At 35.3% G+C, this 27,392-nt stretch overlaps 1 protein-coding gene across 4 annotated transcripts in view, besides 2 other annotated features; it reads left to right on the top strand.

Moving 5' to 3' along the window:
• LRRC40 (leucine rich repeat containing 40) overlaps positions 1-27,174 on the top strand; it is a 60,775-nt gene extending 33,601 nt beyond the window's left edge. For 3 of the 4 annotated variants that reach the window (XM_011541763.2, NM_017768.5, XM_047424520.1), the window contains 6 exons: positions 12,541-12,649; positions 16,183-16,290; positions 19,436-19,546; positions 20,774-20,851; positions 23,307-23,492; positions 26,074-27,174. In XM_011541763.2, the coding sequence (XP_011540065.1) occupies positions 12,541-12,649; positions 16,183-16,290; positions 19,436-19,546; positions 20,774-20,851; positions 23,307-23,492; positions 26,074-26,179 (698 nt within the window). In that variant the 3' untranslated portion in view covers positions 26,180-27,174. Of the gene's footprint in view, positions 1-6,348; positions 6,535-12,540; positions 12,650-16,182; positions 16,291-19,435; positions 19,547-20,773; positions 20,852-23,306; positions 23,493-26,073 lie in introns of those variants that run through there. The other variant, XM_047424519.1, reaches the window with a different exon arrangement.
• Positions 10,680-11,181: an enhancer, noted in NCBI's record as "H3K4me1 hESC enhancer chr1:70626481-70626982 (GRCh37/hg19 assembly coordinates)". NCBI's record gives its function as "activates a minimal SCP1, AML or CMV promoter by ChIP-STARR-seq in naive H9 embryonic stem cells {active_cell/tissue: H9 hESC(naive)}" and the evidence as "EXISTENCE:reporter gene assay evidence [ECO:0000049][PMID:30033119]".
• Positions 15,079-15,373: an enhancer, noted in NCBI's record as "tiled region #3760; HepG2 Activating DNase matched - State 16:ElonW". NCBI's record gives its function as "activates a minimal TATA promoter and a strong SV40 promoter by Sharpr-MPRA in HepG2 cells {active_cell/tissue: HepG2}" and the evidence as "EXISTENCE:reporter gene assay evidence [ECO:0000049][PMID:27701403]".
• Positions 27,175-27,392: the final 218 nt, after the last annotated feature.

Genomic DNA, 27,392 nt, shown 5'->3' with positions numbered 1-27,392 from the left:
GCATAAGTGAACAAATGGTGACTGAGTTAGTAGATCAGAAAGACCTTTTGGCTATTACAGATAATGCTGTAATAAACATTCTTGTACAGGTTTCAGTGTGAATGTATGTTTTCATTTCTCTTGGGTGTATATACCTAGGAGTAACATATTTCTCGATCATATGATAACTCTATGTTTAATCATTTGAAGAACTGCCAAACTGTTTTCCAAAGCAACTGCACCAATTTACATTCTCACCAGTAGTATATGAGTGTTCTGATTCCCCTCATCAACATTTGTCATCATCCTCATCAACATTTGTCATCTGACTCTGATTCTAGCCATCTTGTTGGGTCTGAAATGGCATCTTATTGTGGCTTTGATTTGCATTTTTCTGATGAGTATTAATGTAGAGCATCTTTTCCTGTGCTTTATTAGTCATTTGTGCATCTTTAGAGAAATGGCTATTCAGATTCTTTGTCTATTTTTTAATTGTTTTTTTAAATCATTGAGCTGTAAGTGTTCTTTACATACTTTAGATACAAATCCTTTGTTAAATATATGATTTGCAGATATTTTATAGTTCTCTGTGGGTTGTCTTTTCATTTTCTTGATGTTGTTCTTTGAAGTATAAAAGTTTTAATTTTGAGCAAGTCCAATTTTTCATTTTTTTTTTGTTCATTTTTTTTTAAATCTAAGAAAGCTTTACAAAATCCTAGGTTATAAAGATTTGGCCTATACTTCTAAACATTTTATAACGCCATTGTTTTAAAATTTAGGTCTTTGATCAGTTTTGAATTACTTTTATATGCAGTGTGAGGTAAGGGTTCAATTTCATTGTTTTGTACATGGATATTCAGTTTCTCAGCACCATTTGTTGAAAAGAGTATTCTTTCTACTTTGAATGGTCTTGGCATTCTTGTAAAAAATCAACTGACTATAAATGTATTGGTTTATTTTTCTACCATCAGTTTTATTCTGTTGATCTATATGTCTGACCTTTGCCAGTTCCACACTGTCTTGATTACCATTGTTTTGTAGTAAGTTTTGAAATCAAATCAGGAAGATTGAGGGCTCCTACTTTAGGAGGGCTCCTCTTGTTTCTCAGGATTGCTTTGGCTATTATGGATTTCTTGCAATTCCATATGAATTTTAGAATTAACTTGTGAATTTCTACAAAGATAAAGTTTATGCATTTCTGTAGATCAGTTTGGGGAATATTATCCTAACAATATTAAGTCTTCCATTCATGAGCATGGAATGTTTTTCCATTTTAGATCTTTAATCTCTTTAAACAATGTTTTATAGTTTTCAGACTGTAAGTTTTATACTTGTTTATTTCTAAGCATTTTATTCCTTTTGATGCTATTAGGCATATAATTGTTTTCTTAATTCCATTTTTGTGCTGTTCTTTGCAACTGTATAGGAATACAATGATTTTTGAATGCTGATCTTGTATCCTGAAACCTTGATGAAACTATTAGTTCCAATAATTTTTTGATGTATTCCTTTGGATTTTCTATATACAAGACTATGTTGTTTGCAAATAGAGATAGTTTTACTTCTTCCTTTCCAATCTGGATGCCTTTTATTCCTTTTCTTGCCTAATTCCTTTGGCTAGACCCTCCAGGACAGTACTGAATAGAAGGACTGAGACTGGACATCTTTGGGGGAAAGCTTCTAGTTTTTCATTGTTAAGTAACATTAGGTTAGCTGTGGATTTTTTGTAGATGCCCTTTATCATGTTAAGGAATTTCCCTTCTCTTTCTGGTTTTTGAGTGTGTTTGTCCTAAAAGAGTTGTTGAGTTTTTGTCAATTTTTTTTCTGCATCTGTTGAGATGGTCGTGTGATTTAAAAAATTCTGTTAATATGCTGTATTACCTTAATTGATTTTCAGATGGTAAATCAGCTTGCATCCATGGTTAAATCCCACTTAGTAATGGTGTATAATTCTTTGTAAATGTTGCTAGATTTGTTTTTTAGTGTTTTGTTGAGAATTTGAGAGTTATTCATCTGTTGTTTTCTTGTGATTTTTTTTTGTTTCTGGTTTGGGTGATAGCCTAATAATGGCATCATAAAATGAATTGGGAAATGTTCCCTCCTATTTTGTTTTTTGGGTGAATTTATGAAGAGTTGTTATTAATTTTTTGAATGTTTGGTAGAATTCAGCAGTGAAGCCATTTAGGCATGGGCTTCTCTTTGTGGCTAGGTTTTTTTTATTACTCTTCACGTGTTATAGATATACTCAGATTGTCTGTTTCTTCTTGAGTCAGTTTTGGTAGTTTTTATCTTTCTAGGAATGTGTCCATTTTATCTGAGTTGTTTAATTTGTTGGCATATAGTTGCCATAGTTTATCCTTTTCATTTTTGTAAGGTTAGTAATAATGTCCTCTCTTTCATTTCTGATTCTAGTAATGTGAGTCTTCTCTCTTTTTTTCTAGGCCACACTAGCTGGATATTAGTCAGTTTTGTTGACTTTCCAAAGGATGAGCGTTTAGTTTCATTGATCTTCTCTATTGTTTTTCTGTTCTCTATTTCATTAATTAACACTCTAATTATTTATTTCCTTCTAATTGGTTTAGGTTTCTATTGCAGTTGTGACTGACTGGGGCCAGCGTTCTGGGTGGTTAAAGAATTTACCAAGACAGTTGTAGTAAAGAAAGGCAGATTTATTAGAGAAAGTACAAAGATATGTTGCAAGGGTGCAACAAGTAGCACAGCAGAGAAGGGGCTGTCTGCCAAGAGGCAGGTGCTGGAGGGGAGTTTTATAGGTTCATGCTTGGAGTGGGCTATGTGGAACGAGGTCTTGCTGCTGGGGCTGTGTACAGAGCGAGGTATTTGGGAACAGGATGTTGTGCCAGCAAGTTGTCTGTGATTAGAGTTGTCTATGATTAGCTGTCTCTTGGAACAATTGTTCTCCCCCACCTGGGACCCCTTTTCATTGTTGCTTACTTATCTCATCAGGACTCCAGAGTTTAGTTTGTTCTTTTTTTCTAGTATCTTAGGGTGGAAAGTTAGGTTATTGATTTTGGGATCTTGTTTCTTGACATAGGCATTTATAGCTAAAATTTCCCTCTAAGCATGGCTTTATCTACAGCTCATACGTTTTGGTATGTTGTGTCATTTTCATTTATCTCAAAGTATTTTATGATTTCTCTTTTGATACCTTCTTTGGCCCATTGGTTGTTTAAGGATATGTTGTTAAATTTCCATTATAATGTGCCCCTGACATAAAAAAATGTTTTGAGTCTGTTTTGCCTGATACTGTTATAGACACTCAGCTTTTCTGTAGTTGTCTTATTCCTTGGTTCTCTCCTGTGAGCTAGCTTGTGTACAGTCTGCTTGTATACAGTCTAGGCTGTATCTTCAGTAGATCCAGGAATTTCATCCCAACTGCCTTTTACCATAACCTTCATTGTTTTTGAGAGCTTTCATGCTTTGTTGTGAGTGAAGTCAGTTCCCTTGGGAAGAGATTAGGAACTGTTTTTATGACCTGTTTCTCCCCCAGGCAAAATCTTTGAGCACAGGCTGTGAAGCTGGGAATATGGAAGATGGCAAGCTTCTCTAAGAGTAACACTCTCCTCTAGGAGCTGAACACTCAGTAGAAGGAGTCAGCAATAGACTTAGGTTCTCTTGGTTTGCCTCTCCTTTCTTTGAACCAGCAACTTATGAGCCAGGGGAAGAGCAGTCAGGGCCCCAGTATTCTCATCATGCCAAGCTCAAGGTAGAGCCTCCTTTCTGTGCATGTGACCAGAGTGGAAGAAGGGAGTCCTCACCCTACTCATCAGGGATTTAGCATTAGCAACAGGAAGCTGGTGGCAGGATGAGAAATGCTGACACTCCTCTCAGGAAGAAAGCCCTCTGGCTGGGAGATAGGGTTTGGGGCTGGAGGGTTGGGGGAGAGGGAACCCTGTGTTCTCAGTTGTAGCCTTCTGGAGTGGAGTTTCTGCCTCTCTGACCTAGAAGAGGGGAGAGAGGGAGCAGTCTAGGTTCAAATACCACAGACTCACCTCTTACAAAATTTCCATAGATTTTCTTGAACAGCTATTTCTTCATTTGCTGTTTGCTATTAGAATCATTTCCAAGGCCAGGCGTGGTGGCTCACGCCTATAATCCCAGCACTTTGGGAGGCTGAGGCAGGTGGATTACTTGAGGTCAGGAGTTCGAGACCAGCCTGGCCAACATAGTGAAACCCCATCTCTACTAAAAACACAAAAATTAGCCGGGAGTGGTGGCACACACCTGTAGTCCCAGCTACTCAGGAGGCTGAGACAGGAGAATCACTAGAACCTGGAAGGTGGAGGCTACAGTGAGCCGAGATTGTGCCACTGCACTCCAGCCTGGGCAACTCAGAGCAAGACTCCATCTCAAAATAAATAGAAATAGAATCCTTTTCAGAGGCCTTAAATTATTATTATTTTTTGTTTTTGTTTTTGTTTTCAGACAGAGTCTCATTCTGTCACCCAGCCTGGAGTGCAGTGGTGCAATCTCAGCTCACTGCATCCTCCGCCTCCCAGGTTCAAGGAATTCTGCCTCAGCCTCCTGAGTAGCTGGGACTACAGGCACCTGCCACCATGCCCAGCTAATTTTTTTTGTATTTTTAGTATAGATGGGTTTTTGCCATGTTGGCCAGGCTGGTCTTGAACTCCTGACCTCAGATGATTTGCCTGCCTTAGCCTCTCAAAGTGCTGGGATTATAGGCATGAGCCACCACGCTCAGCTCAGTATTCTCCTTGACCTTTTTCTTTTTTCTTTTTTTTTTTTTTTTTAACACTTTTTAACCAGCTTTTCTGCGGAGCAGATTAACAGAGCTCCTCTTGCTGTCATGATGGAAGTTGATCTCTGGGAAGTATATTTTCTATGTGAAATCTACACAAAAGGAGAACAAAAATTGGGCAAAACTAGCAGTCTGCCACAATAAGCAATAATTGAAAGCCCATTGGCCAAATGTCAGTAGAATCTTTTACTGAGAACTTCTCCATATATGTATCTTTGCCTTCTTCTCAGTTTTTCATAGCTCTTTTATCTTTCATCCCTTTATGTTGTCTCTTTCCCTGTTTCTTTCTTTTCTTTTTTCTTTTTTTTCCTTTTTTCTCCTTTCTTTTGGGGATGGGGAAAATTTTTTTAGAACAGGATTGTAAAGCAAGGGAAAACCAAGCCAAAAACAAATGCATGTAAGGAATGGCCTTATTGTTTAAGAAGTTCAGAAGTAGAAAATATCCAGCTCAGCTACTTTAAAAAATAATAAAAAGAGGAATATCTCAATATAAATATTCAAAGCCTGAGAGAGTAATTTACTTAAAAAGAATTTCTTTAATTTTTGATTTTTTTTTTTTTTATTTAGAAGCGAGGTCTTGCTCTGTTTCTTGGGCTAAAGTACTGTGGCACTATACTAGTTCTCTGCAGCCTCAAACTTCTGGGCTCAAGCAATCCTTGTGCCTCAGCCTTCCAAGTAGCTAGGATTACAGGTGTGCACCACTACACCAGGCTATTTTTATTTTTTTGTAGAGACAGAGTCTTGTTATTTGCTCATTCTGGTCTTGAACTCTGAGACTCAAATGATCCTCCTGCCTCACCTCCCAAAGTGTTGGGATTTACAGGCATGAGTCACCATGCCCAGGCCATATTTATTTATTATTTATTTGTTGCTCTGCTTCTTGCCAATAATTGGTCATATTATTAACATCTTACCACTCTTCCTTCTCTCCCTGGTTGTTCAATCACATTTAAATAATCCCTTGGTATTTCCTGACATTTGTAGTTTCTGGGGTTTAATTATCTCTTCCATTTTTCTTGGTATTTGTACAGGTATACATACTTAGAAAATACATACTTAGAAAATCCCTTTGGACTTCAAAATAGGTTGAATTATTCAAAGCATATATTGGCAAGACTCTTAAAATTGTGATAATCATATGGAGAACAATTATGTGTGTGCATAATCTAAGGGGAATTTCAAATAGAACTGAAACATTTATTTTGAATTAATACTTAACTTTGCACATACATACAAAGGCCCAAGACTTTTTCCTTATCAAAGCATAACTTTATTATTTATAGGTAATAAGTATTTTCTCTGTGAAAAGATGCTCAGTGAAAGAGCAATCTACATACGTATCTAGAGGCACATAAGAATCACCTGTGGAGCTTTTTAAAAACTACGTGCCCAGGCCAGACTTTAGCCCAATTAAATCTGGATTTTGGGGTAATGGGGCCTAAGTATTTAAACAGTAGTTAGAGTGGAATTGCATTTAATTATCTCTAAATTTTCTGGAGCTCTTTGAGGAAAAAGTTGGGACACTTCATTGCTTCATATTTTTTTTTTTCCTTCAGCTTTTCTTCTCTGCTTTTTAACTACTCTTTTCTCAGTTTTAGAGGTAGAAAAGGGATTGGTGAAAATTGAAAACAGTGCCGATCATTTGATTCAAAGGATGCTGGTAAAATGAGATAAAAACTTTGGCTGAAGTGAGTAGAGACTGCTAACTTTAAAGAAACTGAACAATCCAGAAGCATGAAGTTATGTACCAGTTTAAAATAAACTTTCATTAAAAGGCACTTGTCTGTGATGCTTCAAATGTAGAAATGTGGTCCACAGATTCCTCAGACTCCACTGTGTCAAAGAAAAATCTTGTTCTCTTTTAAAGCTTATTAAGTTTTGGTTGTGATTAATTTATATTCTTCCCAGTGTCTAGCAGAAGTGCAGTAATTCATGTAGGATTTAGATAAACTTTCTGCAATGTACTGTTATTTACCTTTTCCTAGGAAGAGTACATATACAAGTCCCAGATATCCTACAAATATAACTCTGAAATTGTTATTATTTTTGAAAAATTAATCTTTTTCTAGAGTACTTAAATCATTCTCCACAGATGATCATTATTATAATTTTTACATTTTAATTGATGTGTTGTTATGTTGAGCCTACACATCTCTATCTGTAGAATGCAGATAATACCTTTTTGAAAGGTGTGTTTTGAGGATCACAATTTCATGAGGTAGCATTGTGTGGAATTACCCTACAATGTCCTTGATTCATCTAAATAGTATTAAACCTTCTTATTTGGTTATCACAGACTTTCAAATAATCCTGATAGTTATTTACTTGTTCTCTGTTCTACATCAATAGGCTAGGTAAATATCAATGGACTATAATTTAAAAATTTGTTTTTATTGTTTATAAAATATCTTTTTAAGGACTGGGTTTGAGGTTTGCAAGTTAGCAATCTGACATGCAAATCTTACACTCATTACAGTTTGTGATAAGCTCAAAGGATCGATTTTAGATTTAAAAAAAAGACCCTTGTAAGAAGAGCATCTCAAGTTGGAATGTTAAGTGAGTGCAGATTCTAAAGCCTCCCCAGTTTATTGGCGGGAGATATGTTCCAGTGGTGATGATACTGTGCCTGCCAAGGGTGAGGTCCTGCCAGATTGGTAAAATTCCCCAGTGGGTGCTGCTGTGGTTTCAGTGATGGTTTCCCCTCTACAATTTTGTTGAGACTTAATCCCCAGTGCAACAGTACTGAGAATTGTGGTCTTTGGGAGGAGATTTGAATCTTAAGGGCTCCACTCTCATGAATAGGATTGGCACTCTTTTTTTCTTTTTTCTTTTGATATGGAGTTTCGCTCTCGTTGCCCAGGTTGGAGTGCAATGTCGCGATCTCGGCTCACTGCAACCTTTGCCTCCTGGGTTCAAGTGATTCTCCTGCCTCAGCCTCATGAGTAGCTGGGATTACAGGCATGTGCAACCACGCCCGGCTAATTTTGTATTTTTAGTAGAGATAGGGTTTCTCCATGTTGGTCAGGCTGGTCTCAAACTCCCGACCTCAGGTGATCCGCCCGCCTCGGCCTCCCAAAGTGCTGGGATTACGTGTGTGATCCCAGCCACTGCACCTGGCCGGATTGGCACTCTTATAAAAAAAGGGTTTGAGGTTGAAGGCAGTGTTCTCTAGCACTTCTGCCTTATGCCATATGAGGACACAGCAAGAGCGCCCCCACCAGAGACCAAATGCTGGGCCTTGATCTTAGACTTCTCAGCCTTCACAATTGTGAGAAATAAATGTCTATTGTTTATAAGTTACCCAGTTTGTGGTATCTTGTTATAGTAGCACAAATGGACTAAGACAGGTGCCAACCCCAATTATGCCATCGTGGCATTAAGCTTAATTACTTTATTTGATTGCAAACATTGCCTTTATTCAAGCTCTATCACCTGATTCTGATCTGTGTTCTGAGTTTAATTTCTTGCTCCGTCACCAGGATCATCTAGCTATGCTACCTTTGATAGACATAATAATGACCCTTCAATGATGGCCACACCCTAATCCCTGAAACCTGTGAATGGGTTACCTTACATGGCAAAGGGCAATTAAGATTGCTAATTGACTGACTTTAAAATAAGGATATTATTATGAATTGTGTTGGCCCAATATAATCACAAGGATTCTTAAAAGTAGAAGAGAGAAGCAGAAGAGGAGGTCAGCGTAATAGGATGTGAGAAGAACCACTGTTGCTGGCTTAACTTGGAGGAGGAAGGCCATGAAGCAAGGAATATGAGGTGGCTACTAGAAGTTGGAAAGGGCAAGGAATCAGATTCTTTTTAGAAAAAGGAATGCAGGCTGGGGGTGGTGGCTTACGACTGTAATCCCAGCACTTTGGGAGGCCGAGGTGGGCGGATCAGAAGGTCAGGAGATTGAGACCATACTGGCCAAGATGATGAAACCCCGTATCTACTAAAAATACAGCAATTAGCTGGGCATGATAAAGTTCCATGGTGGCGCGTGCCTGTAATCCCAGCTACTCAAGAGGCTGAGGCAGGAGAATCGCTTGAACCAGGGAGTCGGAGGTTGCAGTGAGCCAAGATGGTGCCACTGCACTCCAGCCTGGCAACAGAGTGAGACTCCGTCTCAAAAAAAAAAAAAAAGAAAAGGAAAGGAAAAAGGAATACAGACTTGCCATTGCCAAACCCCTGATTTTAGCCCAATGAGACCCATTGCAGACTTGTGAACTACAAAACTGTAAGATAATGTTTGTGTGTTTTAAGTCACTAAGTTTGTGGTAATTTGTTAAAGCAACCATAGAAAACTCATAAATTGGGCATAAAATAATTTATGCCAGTAAATTATATATTAATGAATTGGAATCATATTTTTAGTTTCTTTGCAATCTTGTACTAAGGAATAGTCTTTGGGCAATTATTGTCTCTGTTATCAGGCTTAGGATGGACTCTGTACAATAGACCTGGCCATAGTTTATCACTCACAGTGTCTTACTCATTTTTATGTCCCCAGCACTTAGTACAATGACTGCCGCAGAGTAGAAGCACGGTAACAGTTTGGGGGATAAATGAATACATTTGTAGTAATTAGATCTAGACCCAGGGATTGCTACTGGTTATGTATTATCAATTTATGTTCATCATCTTTCATGTGATAAAAGTGGGGTGCTTCACTAAAGAAATAGGTTTGGATATTTAGTGTCCATTGGCCTCACCTGGAGGGCTTGGTGAACCAGATTGCTGGGCTCCACTCTCAGAATTCATGATTCATAGGTTTGGGGTTGAGCCTGGAAATTTGCATTTCTAACAAGTTCCCATGTTAGGGTGATGTTGCTGTTCTGGGGACCACACTTTGGGGCATTTTATGCCTCTGTCCCTCTCAGATGTCTCCTCAGGGGACAAACTAGCTCTGCATGTTCTCCAAGAACTATCTGCTTTTTTTTTTGTAGCCACCCACTCCATCCTTAGGGGTTATACTCTACAGGCCTGGCTAACACATTTAGTAGTTTTCCTAAGGTTCGTTCTTCCAACCCCCAGCCTGTTGCCTCAGAAAATGATGGTTCACTTAGTTCCTCTCATTTTAAGAGTAATACAGGATAATAAAATCAAACGTTAAAAAAATCTAAAAAATGAAATGGAGAAGTTTAAAAGATGGCAAATTCTTTTCAATTCTTCTACTATTGAAAAGAACTTGTAATTTCTCACTCCATTCTGAGGTGGTTACTCTCTTGGGAATTACCCTCAACACATACTGCTCCCATAAAAATACATTCAACATACATATATTACTGTACTTACCATACTATTTTGTAATTTTTGTTTATTTTGTCCACTAGATCGAGTTCATCTTCTGTCTTCGTCTCTTACTTATAATAGTACCTACCAGTTTATGTGTGATGGATAATGTTATAGAATGAAGGAACAAATAAATAACCAAATGGACTCTAGTTTTTTACTCTTATTTCTAAGAGACAGGATCAACAGCTTTTCCAACCCCTTCTAAACCTTCTGGAGAGGCAGAGTGATCAGTGCCTATTTGCTTCAAAGGGATAAGTTGAAGCTCTGAAGACTTCGTTCTAGGTGACACTCGTTCAACTAAATCACCCATCATGCCCTCCAAACTCACCAAATGAATACATTTGAAAATTTCTTTCTTTCTTTCTTTTTTTTTTTTTTTGAGAGGGAGCCTTGCTCTGTCGCCCAGGCTGGAGTGCAGTGGCGCGATCTTGCACTGCAAGCTCCGCCTCCCGGCTTCACACCATTCTCCTGCCTCAGCCTCCCTAGTAGCTGGGACTACAGGCGTCCGCCACCGGCCAAAAATTTCTTAAAAAGGTATCTCCATGGCTGGGCGTGGTGGCTCACGCCTGTAATCCCAGCACTTTGGGAGGCCAAGGCAGGCGGATCACGAGATCAGGAGATCGAGATCATCCTGGCTAACACGGTGAAACCCCGTCTCTACTAAAAATACAAAAAATTAGCTGGGCGTGGTGGCGGGCACCAGTAGCCCCAGCTACTCGGGAGGCTGAGGCAGGAGAATGGCGTGAACTCGGGAGGTGGAGCTTGCCGTGCGAGATCGCGCCACTGCACTCCAGCCTGGGCAACAGAGCGAGACTCCCTCTCAGAAAAAAAAAAAAAATAATGAGATATCTGCGTTCTTGCTTATGTGATTGACCTCTTATTTGGCTGTGTTCTTGTCAGTCACTTGTACAATTACAACTTTTTTTTTTCTCTCTCTCTGGAAACCTATAGGATCTTCTATTCGTTGCCATTGTTTGAAATTTTATGGTAATTAACTTTGGTGTGGTTCTACTTTTATTTATTGTGTTTGGCACTTACATGGCCCTTTCAATTTGAAATTTTGATGTTTTTAAAAATTATGTTTTTTTAATGAAAAAGACAGTAAATGCACATGGTTAAAAAAAACAACAATACGCAAAGATATATAATGAAAGGAAATCTCTCTCGCAACAGTCTTCTCCCCAGAGACAATAGACTCTCTCCTTATATTCTCCTTGATGCTAATTATTAAAAGGAGCTCTTTGGAAATTGTTAAGAATACCCTACCTCATTATACGATCATGGTAGTATACATAGATATTTTAAAAACAATGCTGGATTTTGTTGCTGGTTTAATAGTGTCTCTCTGCTTATTTAATTTTGGCACTGTATTACATATTATTTAAAGTAACTTAACCAAACTGCTAGGGGAGTAGTACTACTACTAGAGCATTAACTTGATGTTAATACTTTCCTTGATGTCTTTCATTTCTGTTTGATATTCTGTCATTTATTCTGTGCTACTTCTGTGAATAAAGTATTCATATGATACTTGCCTGGGAAGCAATAATAGCTTAATCATTATTGACTAATGAATAACTGATGAGCTCAATGCAAGAGAAATATACTTAGTAATATTCAACAAATGTTTATTGAATGCCTACTGGGCTGAAGCAAGATCAGGTATACTACTAATTTTTTTTGTTTTCTTTTGGCGTGCCTTCTGCTCTTATGTGCTAATGCTGGGACTGTTTCATCGTTTTCACATTGTTGAAAAGTGATAGTCTTATTTTACTTCTCTATCGTTCAAGTCTTTTTTGCAAAAATAACACAAAGCCATTTCTTTTAAAATGTGTATTTAAAAAAATATGTATACCATATGATGACAGTGTTAAACAGTCTCTGGAGATTAGTAAGGTGGTTGATGGTGCGTGAATGTGTGAGTATGCAAGCATGTTAGGAAAATATCTATAAAAAATAAAGTCTTGCATTTGTTAAGAAAAAAATCTTAACATATAAAATGTACCAGAGACTTACTCAGTTATGCAGATTGTCAAATTTCAAGTGATTGAGGATAATCAATTTTGTTGTCTCCTAAATTAAAAAGCATATGCTTATTTGGTAGACATTTGAGGGAAATAATGGTTTTCTTTCATTAACAAATTTCTTCTAGTGGACCATATTATTTTACTTAAGAGGAAGGATTACTTGTTATTTGTTTCTTCTTATACATCATAGTTATTCTATGAAGGTTCTTTCTTACTGCTAAATTTCCTTTCAGTAGGATTCATTAAACAGTTTTGAAGCCATGCTACAGTAATTTTATTTTCTATTAATTAAATATTAAATTCCAGATTGAGATTTGAGTCATTGGAAATAAAGCATATGACTAAAGGCATTCTCACCAATAATATCTAGAAATCACGTACACTGTTTTAATATATTATCAAGAATTTTAACAATGACTTTGTAGTATAAATATTGGCTTCATATAAGTTTTCTTTTGCCAGATGATGGACCTAGCCAAAGTGAGTCTGCTACTGAGACTGCCATGACACTACCAAGTGAATCCAGAGTCAATATACATGCCATCATTACATTAAAAATATTAGACTATAGGTATGTAATTTATTATTATTTTTATTTTTATAGAGATAGGGTCTTACTGTGTTGCCCAGGCTGGTCTTGAGCTTCTTGGGCTCAAGCCATCCTCCTGCTTTGGCCTCTCAAAGTGCTAGGATTATAGGCTTGAGCTACCATGCTTGGCCTAATTTATTTTTTTTTAAACATTACCAAACACATAGGAAACTTTTCAGAAAGAAACCCTTCAGTAAAAAGGACAATTGATGAGGAAAAATTCATCAGAGTACTTGACTTAGAGTAATAATAATTGCAAAAAACCATGATGAAATAGAAGGATATTAAAAGTATAATAAAAATAGAAGGATATTAAAAATATAAATGACCTTCAGTGTCCATTCCTTCTGCAGTTTGTGTTTTACTATGCTTGAGAGAGAGATGGTTTTGTTAATAGTGATATTTTTATAATGGGAACATTTTATTGTTATAAAAAAAAAGAATGACAGTATTGATAATAAAGTTCTTTGACTCAGTAATCAGCATCCAAAGAGAATTTCATATTGGTGGGTGTCTATGTTAGTAAATAAGAAACTAGTATTTTAGTTAATGAAAACCTTGACCAGCAGGCAAAGCTTGAGAGGTTGTACCCTGCTAATTTATCTGAACACAAGTCAAATAATGTATCATAGTAATAATGTGCTGTGGTAGCAAATATTCCAAAACTGAAAAAATTACAATGTTAGTATATAAATTGAGACAAAGCCAAAAAATTTTAAATATTTTTTATGGAAGTATATGAAATTGGGAAAAGAAGATACCTATGCAGAGATTGAAGGTAGTTGTAAAGTATCCTTTCAGTACTGTCTAAGGCAACAACAACAAAAACATAAGCAATACTGTCAAAATTTTTGTAGCAATTGGTTCATTTATGGGTATTGTAGTGAAAATACAAAAGAATATAGACTGAAGTCAGATAGGTGACTAGATTTATTCAAGAATCTACACAGCCAACATCAGTGTATGGTCTTTTATCCTTAATGTATCAGTAGGAACTATCTTCTTAGCAGTCAGGATACAGTCTCCATTTCACATTTGTTGTGTTTCATTCATATTGTTCTCACCTCTTGCCTGCCACTCTTAGAAATCACTACTCTAAGCTAAGTTTCTTTTGCCACGCTAACACAGGTAGCACTCTTCTGTACTTACATTTGACTCTTTCTTACAGAGCATGGCAACTTAGCTTTTTTTTTTTTTTTTTTTTTTTTTTTTGAGGCAGGGTCTTGCTCTGTTGCCCAGGTTGGAGTACAGTGGCGTTATCTCGGCTCACTGTAACCTCAACCTCCTGGCTCAAGCGATTCCCCCACCTCAGCCTCCCAAGTAGCTGGAACTGCTGCACGCTATCCTGCCCAGCTAATTTTTTTATTTTTTGTAGAGATGGGGCCTCTCTGTGTTACCCAGGCTGTTCTTGAACTCTTGAGCTCAAGTGATCCTCCTGCCTCAGCTTCTCAAAGTGCTGGGATTACAGGCATAAGCCACCATGCCTGGCCAACTTAGCATATCTTATCTTCCAAATAATATACCCATTTATTCAGTAGATATTTTTGGAGTCTACTAAGTATCACATTCTGTGCTAGGTATCATAAATAAACTGATTGATGAGACAGACTTCATTCCTGCCTTAGGCTTTTTTTAGCTTAGAATTTCTTTTATGCCTGACTTCTGGCTTCCATTCCCTCATATACAGATACCATTTATTGAGTCTCTATTCTAAGGGGATCTAGGGTGTTGTACTAGGTACATATGCTGTTGCTTTTAATCATGCAGACAATCTATAAAGTAGTATTGGTCCAATTTTATTTGGGATAACCATTTCTACTTCTTAAAGGCACAGATATCACAAAAGCATAATCTTAGATTACTTTGATTCTAAATTTATTCGGATTTGTTTTTCTTAAAGACTTTAACTGGAAAGGAGTGTCTTATTTAAAATATAAATTATCAATCTCAAGGCATAAATGCTTTCAACTAAAATTTTTAAATAGCATGAATCTTTTAAGTCTGACTAGCATGAGTCAGTTCCCCATGAACTTGAGCATTTGTGATTGAAGAGATGAAAATGCTGCATCTACACAGAAGAAAATGGGATGCTAAAGCAGAAGTAGAAGGTATAATAACTGTGAAATGTAGGCTGTCTTTACATATTTGTATTACAATGCATTTCTTATACAGTTCTTCCATATTATACATTATATGTAATGTTTTTCTGTTCATAGTCATTCATTTGGCATTCCGTTGAAGTTTCTTGAAGGTAGATGACATTGTATTAAGCACTAATAATTTTAAAAGAAGAATGTAAGGATAATGGCTAATTATTACATTAAAAAAACAGTTAAATCTGCAAATGTTAGAGTTCTATATAGTAGTCCCGCTTATCCACAGTTTCACTTTCTGCAATTTGGGTTACTTGTGATCAGGTGCAGTCCGAAAATATTAAACGGAAAATTCCAGATGTAAACAATTTATAAGTTTTAAATTGTGCACATTCTGAGTAGCATCATGGAATTTTATGCTATCCCTCTCTGACCTGCCCTCTGTGACCTGTCATGTCTCATGACCTGGGACATGAATCATCCCTTTGTCAGCATATCTATGCTGTATATGCTGCCCATCCTTAGTCACTTAGTAGTCATCTTGTTATCAGATTGAAAAAATATGGTGTATACTATATAGGATTCAGTCCTCTCAGAAGATTCTGGCATCCCCGGGGGGTCTGGATAAAGGGGAACTACTGTATTTTCATTTAAGATTAAATTTATATTTTATTGAAAACCTTACTGAAAATTTTAATAAAGAGGAAATTTATTTATATTTACATTTGAAAACATGTGGCATAAATAACAATAAATAGTCCTTCAGATTCTAATGTCACAGAACTGAGATTCAGGGGAGGTAAGTTATAAAGCTCATTAATGGTAGAAATAGGAATAGTTTAATCTCAGTCCACTGCTCTGTCTACCTTGTCACATACTAAAGGAGAGAGAAATTGGTCCAGGTTACTAAATTAAAATTAAACTAATTTTAAATTAATTAAACTAATTTTAGTTAGTTTAGTATAATGTTGAACTTTTTAAAAAAGTTATTATCTTGTAGAAATTATATACCCAAACAAATTTGACAGAAAACTCCTCTTATAGATTTTTAAGATGGGGCAACAACTAGCTTTTAAAATTATAGATTTAATTCTACTCAGAGGTAAAGGAATGGGCTCCATTTGCTATATGACTTGTAGATATCTTAGACTCCAAAGATAAATATCTATTTTTATTCACATTGAGTATATGAATGCCCAGAAAATGTAGCACAATATGTTATAACACAATATGTTGTCTGAATTCCTAACAGTGAACCTTTTATGGCTTGGTAGATTATGTGGCATTTGTTACAAAATTTTATAATCAATGGCTTTGAAAAATTTCATAAAATCTTTAAACACCTTTAAAAATGAAGAGTAATAATCATATCTTTTTGGACTGCTAAGAATGGTTCGTTTTTTAAAACCATTTTTCATTTAGTGATAAACAAGCAACTTTGATTCCTGATGAGGTGTTTGATGCAGTAAAAAGCAACATCGTCACTTCTATTAACTTCAGTAAGAATCAACTATGTGAAATTCCAAAAAGGTAAGAACTATGATGCCATGTCTATAGGTTGTGACTCATTCTGTTGTTTTTCCATCTTGGTTTTTAAATTGGTTTTTCCATATTGGTTTTTAAATTTAAAACTATATGTAAAAATTTTTACATTATTAATATTAGAGGGATTTAGCAAAATGTCATTAAGTATTTACTGACACAATTTTATCATTTGTTCTGAGAGGTATAGAGGTTTTAAAAAAATTTGTTTCTTTTTCTTTTATGTTTAAACTTGGAAAATGGGTATAAGAATTATTAAAAACATTATTTTTCCCATATAATGAAATATAGGGAATTATATATACTCTCACATAATGAAATATTAGGGAAAATTGTTAAGAGACTGTCTAACATCAGGTCCATGTGGATTAATAGGAATTTCCATTTGGGGCTTTATGTTAATGAATTGCCAAGCCACTAATTTTTCCACTGATAGGAAAAGCAAAATTAACTGAAGCCTGTTAATATTTTTCTCCTAGAAAAGGATTCTTCACATGCAGTCATTTGCTTTATACATTGTACTGTTAAATACATTTTTTGTTGTTAATTACAGCAAAATCTTTAGATTATGAGTGTTAATTTAGTATATTGTTGAACTTTAAAAAACATTTGTTATCTAGCAGTAAACTATATACCCAAAGAAAGCTGACAGATAATCTAGCAATTAAAACAACCCAATGTGAGACAGGATAGGGTACTGATAAGGAACTTGAGCAATATAGTCAATTGCTTATACCATATCCCAGACCTGCTGTATAGTTTTTGGACAGGTTAACTAGCTGTTCTTAGTTTTCTCACCTGTGAAATAGGGATAATAATAGTGCCTGTTTATAAGAATTAAACTAAATGACATAATCCACACAAAGCATTTAACTAGAGCCTAATGCTTTTATGCACGTAAATACTTAAGAGGAAAAAAAAAGGTGATGTCGTGGAGGAGAGTGATGTGATGAATTGAGAAAGTTGAATGACTTTCATCTGACTATCAAAAATTTTTTAGATGTTTAAAGCTTTTAAAAAGTGAGACAAAATATAATTTGCTTTCTATTTCTCAGAGCATAGTTTAGGGAATGTAGATCTTAAAAGACGACAAATTTAAGATAGTCCATTGCAAAAGGGATCTCTAATCCATCTTCTGGTTCTCTCTTGTTTTAAAGGACTGAGAGGATATTTGATAGAATTGAGCATTTAGATTTGCTCTCAGATAGGACAAGTTTGCTTTGGGCGGGGGGTCCTGGATCAAATAAGTTAATTGGGAATAAAGATATACTTAAGAGACATTACTTATTATTTACTGCCTCATTTTATCTCACTATCTGGCTCTTCTTTTGCAAAATAATGTCATTCTGTTGACACAGCTATTATATCACATTTTGAGCAACTTAGAATGTCAAGAAAATAATCAAGACATGCCTTATTACATGGACATGTTGCATTAAAAAAGCCATGCTTTTCTCTAGAAAGTTCCCAAACCACTTTCCCTTTTTAAAAAAATTTTAATGAACAATTCATGCTTTTCACCAAAGATTATAAAAATAATACATATTCATAAAATTTTGGAATAAATAAAGGAATATATCAGTTGTAGTTTCATCACTGATTTACTCGGTTAACTTTGTGGCATACTGCATATTTTATTTCAAGCTATTCTCCATTTGGAGTTATACATGCAATTTGTGTCTTTTTTTTTTTTTTTTTTTTTTTGAGACAGGATCTCACTCTGTTGCCCCTACTGGAGTTCACTGGCACAATCGCGGCTCAGTGCACCCTTAACCTCTCAGGTTGAAGTGATCCTCCCACCTTAGCCTCCCTAGTGGCTGGGACTACAGGCATATGCCACCACACCCCACTAATTTTTGTAGAGACCAGGTTTTGCCATGTTGCCCAGGCTGGTCTCAAACTCTTGAGCTCAACTGATCCACTTGCCTTGGCCTTCCAAAGTGCTGGGATTACAGGTGTGAGCCACCATGCTTGGCCATAATTTGTATCTTGACTGGTTTATTTGTCATAAGTATTTTTCTGTTTATAAACCATACTTTAAAAATGTAATTTAACTGTATACTTTAAGGTTGATTATGACAATAAAGGAAACATATTGTTTCTCTAGGCCAGATTTCTAGAAAAATTATTAAGTCAGAGTTTGACTCGATATATCAAAAAAAGTTTTATCAAGTTTTATCAGTTACACATTGAAACTCATTTTCTTTTACTACATCTTTTTCAGCACAGCATTTTATATCCTTTCTTTTTTTTTTCTTTGCTAATGAGATAGACTAAGTTGTAATTTAACTTTCATTTGGTTGTCTTTTTTTTTGAGACAGAGTTTTGCTCTTGTTGCCCAGGCTGGAGTGCAGTGGCATGATCTCAGTTCGCTACAACCTCCGCCTCCCAGGCTCAAGCAATTCTCTTGCTTCAGCCTCCCGAGTAGCTGGGATTACAGGTGCCCGCCACCATGCCTGGCTAATTTTTTGTGTTTTTAGTAGAGGCGGAGTTTCACCATGTTGGCCAAGCTGGTCTTGAACTCCTGACCTCAAGTAATCCACCTGCCTCAGCCTCCTAAAGTGCTGAGATTATAGGTGTGAGCCACCGTGCCCAGCCAACTTTCATTTGTTAGTAAATCATATTAATAACAGGAATAAAACTATAAACCTTGATTAGGCTTACTTAGAAATGTTTAATTCTTCCTCTTTAAGTTTTAAACTAAAGCTCCTTAGTGGTAATACACTACTTATGTAGTAGAAAACTACTATGTTACAGGATGTCTGTTTAACAATTTGTTTTATGGATTCAAGTTATTAATAGAATAAAGTATAAAAATTTTCTAGGTTTGATTTTTCTCCTTCGTGCCATAGTTGGTTTAAATATAAAATAAATAGTTTTTTAAGTGAAACTTTAATGTATATATAAAGCCAAATAGAAACTTTTGGACAGATAAGAGTGAGCCTTTTTTGAAAAATTATTTTTATTAGTTACATATCCAAACTCATTAATGTTCCTGTGAAAAAGTAAAAGGTACAAAAAGTCATAATTAGCAGAAGTTAAATATAGGAATTTCCCCCTTTGATCTGCTTACAGTTTTGAAGTTCTGGCAGTGAATTCAAGTGCTAACATTTTAAAATTATTTTTGTTTCAGGATGGTAGAACTGAAGGAAATGGTTTCTGATGTCGATCTCAGTTTTAATAAACTTTCCTTTATATCCTTGGAGTTATGTGTGCTTCAGAAATTGACTTTTTTAGATCTCAGGTATTTATTGATACTATTGCTTGACTTTTTAAAAAGTTATAACTTGTCTTTGAGTTTTGTCTAACTTATTCTTTTTACCTCATATTTTCCTAGGTATGTATGGAAACTGGCCTTTATTTATTAACAATAGTTTAGGAGAATCCAAAAATAGTGTTTAGGAAACCCGAGACAGAATTCAGGAAAAATACTGTAATCAGACATTTATAATTTGTAAGCAATTTACAAGTTACGTCATAAGACAAAATTACTGAAAATATTAACCCATTCTAAGCAAAATTACAAATAAGACATGGAAAGTATTTTTTTCACATTGTTTATTTTCTGAAAGTAAATAGTATAAAACCAGCTGAGTGGGTTATTCAACACAACTTAATGCAGACAATAACTGGAGAAAAGTACAGAGAATGTAGATATAGAAAAAGAATATAGCTTGTACTGTAGAAAGTATGACTTTACATATTAGGCTTGACTTCTGAACACAAAGAAATAGGTTAGAGAAAAATATTTATTTGTAATAGGTAGTCATCTAGTTGGGAATAATTTTCTCACAGGTATTTTCATTATTAGTAGTTATATTGGCTCCTAAAATCCTTTTACCTTTTTGTTAACTTTTCTTCTAACATTGCTCCCAGATCTTTCCAACAGTAAATGAGATTTTGTTTATTGCCATGTTTCATTGTAAGAGCTAAAAAAAAAAAATAGTCATTGTGTAAATTTAAATTCTAAACTTAGAGTAGGAATAGATTTGCTTTATACCTATGGAGTAGAAAACTCCAAATCTCTTAATAGAATCTTTTTAACTTCTTGGTTCATTTTTAAAATAATTTTTAAATTCCTCTTAGAGTAGAATTTCATGTCTGTGTCATATATATTAACACCAATGGAATATTTATGTGGTATTATAGACATGGGGGAAATATTAAATACCCCACTTTGAAGGAGCTAATTAGTTTACAGTGTTTACCCTGTAATCACTATTAAACCTGTAAAGAATTCATTGCATTATCAATTGGTTGCATATTGGTATTATTAGGATTTGGCATACTAACCGAATAACTGCGGTAGGTGACTGATTCAGAATTCTCAGAACTCAGCCTTTATAAAGTCAGATCAAGGATTGACAAACTGATCTACATATTTTTTTTTCCTGCTCAATATTTTAATTATAAATTAAACTTGTAAAATTTTTCAAACTTTGTAAATCTTCTGTTTTGATTTCCAATTTAGGAACAATTTTTTAAATTCTTTGCCAGAAGAAATGGAATCACTGGTAAGACTGCAAACGATCAATCTTTCCTTTAATAGGTAAGAGAACAGACAATTCTAATTGTTATTCTGTGGAAATATGTAGATCTTTCTCATTGGAGAAAACAAAAGCCAAAAAAACAAAAAGGCCCCTTCTACTTTATTTCAATATCCAGATTTTATTTTCACTTAGTTCTTCTTAGAGTTAAAAATATTATTTTCTTAGAATTCTCATAGTTGATGTCTAACATATTTTTCATTCCTTTTTACCATTTTGAGAAACCTGTGGCCTAAAAAGACAAAATAAATAATTACAATTGCTCTAATGGAAGGATAGTGCACAGGAAAATGTCTTCTGAGATTACTTTAAGGTAGAGGAGATAGCATTGAAACTGAGGTTTGAAAAATAGACATTTGCCAGCCATTCAGGTAGAGAGCATTCTAGTTAGAGCTAATAGCATATGCCAAGGCACAAAGATGTGAGAACATATGGGGTGTCTGGGAAACTTCAAGAAGTTCAATGTGCTTTGGACAATAAAGCAAACAGGTAGAGGAGTAGAAGGAACAGATAAAGTCTGGCAAGTAAGCAGTAGCCAGACCTTGAGCTTTTTGTGCTCAACGAAACTTAGATTTTGTTCTGCAAACACTATCAAGATACTGCAGATAATTAAGAGCAACTAATATTTATTGGGAGCTTATTATTCTGCTGGTGCTGTACTAAGTACTTTACATGTAATAGCTCAGGCTTACAAGAACCCTACATGGTAGGTTCTGTTACTGTGTTCATTTAAAAATCAAGGATTAGAAGCTAAATAACTCATCTAAGGTATGCATAAATAGTAAATTATACAGCTGAGATTTGAGTCCAGGTGGTTTGGCTCCAGAAGTTGGGCTCTTAACAACTATGTCACATTGTTTCTTATGATGAAAATGGATTCTAAAAACAATTTAATTAAAATATGAATAACTGGCCAGGTGCAGTGACTGACACCTGTAATCCCAGCACTTTGGAAGGCCGAGGTGGGCGGATCACCTGAGGTCAGGAGTTTGAGACCAGCCTGGCCGATATGGTGAAACTCCATCTCTACTAAAAATACAAAAATTAGCCAGGCGTGGTGGTGGCCTGTAAACCCAGCTACTCAGGAGGCTGAGGCAGGAGAATCGCTTGAACCCCAGGAGGCAGAGGTTGCAGTGATCCAGGATTGCGTCACTGCACTCCAGCCTAGGCGACAGAGCAAGACTCTGTCTCAAAAAATAAATAAAATTTAAAAAATAAAATATTAGCAGCTAATGTTTAATGCAACCTAGATAATGTCCTAAGGTCTTCAAATACATTCATTTAATCCTTATAACAAGTGTATATGTTTAGTACTATTATTATTCCTCATTTATAGATGAGGAAGCTAATGCATAGTGATGTTAAAATATTGCTCATTTTAATTTTTCTTCTGTCTGCTCCATTACTTGTCCTTTCTAGTATATAGATTGCACCATTATTGTCATTATTTTAAAATATGTGCACTTCTCACATCTCTCCTAATTTTTACTTGTGAATTGAGCTATCAGTTTTATATTGTGTTGTCAATTGAGCTAACAATTGCCTTGCAAGTAATGTCTTTGGGGAAGTGCCAAAAGCTAGCCTAAACTTCCGTGTTATCAGGTGATTATCTTGTTCATGGGTTGCAGGGAGGGAAGAGAAGAGCCTATTAAGGGGTCATTTGGTCCATCTGTACTCTTGGCTATTGCTTCTCTAGTCTTACTGGAACTTCAGCACTGCCTTGAGTTTACACTTCACTATTGCTTTTTTTCATCAAGGCAGCAAAGGAAGGGGGCAGTATGCGGAAATGAAAAGGCCAAAGCTCTCGTTCCTGCCCATTCTTCTATTTTCTAGTCAAGGCTGCAGTTCACCTCATGCTAAAACTGTGCTAGCCTTTGTGCCCTGCGGGGTCCTCAGCCATTTTACGTTAATTGCAAGTATTGCTTTGAGAGCTATTAGCCTTCCCATATCTTGTGGCATCTTCAGGGTTGCTTGGACAAGAAAGCCAGCAGTCTATGCTAATTTGTTATCTTTTTAAGAACCCAAAGTGTACTCATTTTAGAAGCCTCAGTCAAAGCAAAATATAAATCTTGAATTTTACTTAATATATTGGGAGTGATTATGTTTCATAAGAAGTAAAAGTGAAAGGAAGAATACCTACATGGATACATTTAGAGAAGATTTCCTCTTGAATGTGAACAGAAAAATTTACTGGGAGAATTTACTCTGAAGTTTTGCTGATTTTATACAATAAATAGCAACTGTTACAAGTCTGTCTGTTTAACATGTATTTCAAGGTTTTCAAAATTAGCCCTTTCTCTTTATTTTTTGTAAAATTCAAATACAGGACTTAATGCCAATTACAGAATAACATACACTAAAGAAAAAACTGTCATGTCAAATTTAAGATAATATGTTTTAAGGAATGATTTTGGTCTGATTCCAGTATATTTAGGTGTTCTGTTCATGTATTAATAGGTTTAAAATGCTACCTGAAGTTCTATATCGTATCTTCACACTTGAAACAATTCTGATTAGTAATAATCAGGTTGGATCTGTGGACCCTCAGAAAATGAAGATGATGGAAAATCTGACCACGTTGGACCTTCAAAATAATGACCTCTTACAAATTCCACCAGAGCTCGGTAATTGTGTAAACTTAAGGTAACTACACCATTCTACTGCATTGTTTCATTTATTTTATTGATTTGTTGAAGTGATTTGTTTTTCTTTTTCAGATAAATTTGCAAGAAGTTAAAGTAACAGATTTAATATCCTGTTAAAAATAACAAGTAACAAAACCCAGAGTCCCAATTCTGTTTTTCAAATTTTACCAAATGTATATTTTTAGTTTTGCTTATATGGTATATGTGTGAATATAATAACTAATTATTTCTAGTGGCTTTTCGCTATCACTGTGTATGTTTATAACCTGAATCTCTACTGCATAAAAATGTCGGGGAAATATTAACTCCTTAGCTTTGAATACAGGGTTTTTTTTTTTTTTTTTTTTGAAATTGATTGCAGATTACCACCATTCTATTTTGAGCCCAGTACAGTCTTTCTCACTCTTTACATCTGCTGTTCCCTCAGCATCAGGTACTTTTACCCTGTTTTCATCAATAATTGGCCTATTGAATGTCACCTTTGAAAGCCTTCCCTGTCCTCCAAGCAGAATTAGTCCCTGATTTCCCATCATGCTTCATTTGGACTTATTTGTACGATTTTTGGGTCTTTCTTTGGAAAAGAGTTGTCCCAGTGCCTAAAACATAGTAAACACCCAGTAAGTGCTTATTAAGTGAATATAAAGGAGGTTTGAGGTATCGACAGAAAGCCAAGTGGTTAAGCAGAATGTGTCAGAAGTAATTTAATTGCTGAAAACTGCATATGAATGATTTGGTATATTTTACTTCACTGGAGCAACACTGGTATCTGCTCTAGTACCTCATGTTAGTAAGTTATAGGAGACTATAAATACAGTTGATTCTTATTCTTTGTGGCAGTTATGTTCTATAGACACTCTGAACACCCAGTTAGTGAATACTGACCTATTGCTTCTGGGGGAAATACAGGGGTTAGGTTCTTGCAAGAGTCTAGTCACAACATTTTCAGCAACCAGTCAATATATAACTTTGTTATATGTGTGTTTCTGTAGTAAGATACTTCATTTAATATTACTGTTGTGTCATTAACATTGAAATCATGGCCAACAGCACTATAATTCATGCCTGAACAAAGCTTACCTGACACATGTATTTTTTTCGTAATCCACATTTGTCCTTAGGAAGACTAGACAGTACTTTAGCATTATACTTGGTGACCATTTAACACAGTGAAATCACCAACAAAGGTATGAAAATTTGAAAAGCGTGGCACTAAATGAACCACCAAAATGACCCGTTTACAGTATAAGAGCTGAAACAAGAAGACAAAGCATCACCTTGTTCAGTCTCACCTGGGAACATGCCCGTGGGGTGACTCCAATTTTTTGCTCCTCTGTGCCTGTTTATGAATGACCTCGGAAGTGCCACACATTGATTTGGGGGTATAAACTTTAGTGAGTAGGCAAGTTTGCAAATATAGCACCCATGAATAATGAGGATCAACTGTAATCAACTTTTTTTCTAGAAATTAAGAAAATAAGTCTTTAAAAGAATTCCCAAGAAACAGAAATATTTGAAGATATAATTTAGATCAACAATATGGTTGAGTCCTTTGATTTTTGTTTACATAAACACTTAACTGTTAAAAATAATAAAAAAGCCTCTCTTAATTGAAGATATTTTATTATATAATGAAACAAAACAAGCTCTTAAATCTTAAGTTGAACTCTCAGAACATGTAAATAGATTTATATATGTGTATCTGCTCAAAGGAGGGAGAGGGCAGAATGTGTTAATGTTTTGGGAGGCAGGGGGTGGAGCAGTGGTGGTGATACATTGATTACATTACAGTCCTTGGCTTGGATGACTCATGCTGATATTTGTTTAAATCTTACTTGACCATTTAGTATACAGTCACTTAATAAGGTTGAGAAGGCTGGATAAAAGGGTGGTTCAAATCACAGCTCCATCATTTAGTAGCTGTTTGATCTTAGACAATATTTCTTACCCCCCTAAATTTGTATTTCCTCATCTATTAAAACAGAACTATTAATGGTACTTACATCATAGGATTGTTGAGAAAATAGGATTGTTAAGAGTGACTGAATATAAATTACTTGGCTCAGTACCTTTCACAAAGTAAGTATTCAATTAATATGTTTTGGGTTATTAATTAGTTATAATTCTAATGTTTAAATGTTCAGATATGAAAAGGGGCAAATAGCTCAAGCATGGTGGTTCACTCCTGTAATCCCAGTACTTTGGGAGGCTGAGGCGGGCAGATTACTTGAGGCCAGGAGTTTGAGACCAGCCTGGCCAAAATGGCAAAACCCCCTCACTACTGAAAATACAAAAATTAGCCGGGTGTGGTGGAACACACCTGTAATCCCAGCTACCCGGGAGGCTGAGGCATGAGAATTACTTGAACCTGGGAGGTGGAGGTTGCAATAAGCTGAGATTGCACCTCTGCACTTCAGGCTGGGCAACAGAGTGAGACTCTGTCTCAAAAAAAGAAATAAAAATAAAAAGGGGCAAATAGAAAAAAAATACAGAAATTTTATTTATAAAATTGCAAATGAAATTAGATGAAAAACCTTGTTAATGGAAAATGTTTACATTCTCAATTTCTCTCTTTTGTTTAGAACATTACTACTGGATGGAAATCCATTCCGAGTTCCTCGAGCAGCCATATTAATGAAAGGAACAGCTGCTATACTTGAATATTTGAGAGACCGAATTCCTACTTAACATGGAGTTGCTTTATAACCCTTGTCATGTATTATTAACCCTGGTTAATTCTAAGGAGGATGTAACATTTGTTTTAGTATCATCTTAAAAGGTGATTATTGTAATTGATCTTGTAGTTTCCCAGTATCACCTACCTGTTGGTATAATTAGCCTGGGCCATATTCACTGCCAGTAAATATTTTTACATTTTTATTTAAGATTTTTGTAAGGTGTTGTATACATTTGTAATGGTGATAACCACAATGTGTTCATACATTTGTTCTAAATGTTTTGCTTATGATTTATCCTGCTAACTTTCATTTTCTTATAGCAAGCAGTTTTTTCAAAAATGAATTTTTATTTAATGTGGTTCAGTATTATAATAACAAAGCATTTTTGTAGAACTGGTTTTTTTTCTCATTTATTTTTGTATTCCATACAATGTGACCAATTGACTTGAATATGACTAGCCAGTTTCTATGTTTTTGTTAGATATAAAATTAAATCGAATTTTGTTGAATACTGTTCTTTGGCATTTAAAAAATAAGACCTTCTTATCTTGGGCCACATGTCAAAAGAAAAAGGAAACAAAAATATATTAAAAATAAGACTTTTCATTACCCATGATAGGACTTTTGTGATATGGCTAATCTCAGTACACATTTCAACTTAAAACCTTTTTATTTACAGCACCATAATTTTAAAATTTACTTGCAATCTTGGTAAGACTAAACTTGCAGTGTTTTTCTAAAAGGGAATTTGATAGGTAAACTTGATTTAATAAAAATTAAATATCATTTTTGTTTACACCAAAATTATCAGAAGTAGGTTGATTAGTCATTATAACACTTACCATATGATTCTATTAAGAAGTCAATTCAGTAGCATGTATATCAATTTATATAGATAGGTAGATAGCTTTTGGATGATTGAGGCATGCTTATATTATGAAAAAAATTGCTAATAAAGATAAATACTACATGTTCAGAATAAAAGTTACATTTTTCAAATATTGATTACAATGTTTATGTTTTCATTTTAAAAAAAACATGCCTTTTTGGCTGGGGGCAGTGGCTTACGCCTGTAATCCCAACACTTCGGGAGGCTGAGGCGGGCAGATCACTTGAGGTCAGGAGTTCAAGACCAGCCTGGCTAACATGGTGAAACCCCCGTCTCTACTAAAAATACAAAAAACAAAACCAAAAAAAACTATCCGGGCATGGTGCATGTGCCT

The sequence above is a fragment of the Homo sapiens genome, chromosome 1 (genome assembly GCF_000001405.40).
Source record: "Homo sapiens chromosome 1, GRCh38.p14 Primary Assembly".
Taxonomy (NCBI): Eukaryota; Metazoa; Chordata; class Mammalia; order Primates; family Hominidae; genus Homo; species Homo sapiens.
This window is presented reverse-complemented; position numbering and strand designations above follow the sequence as displayed.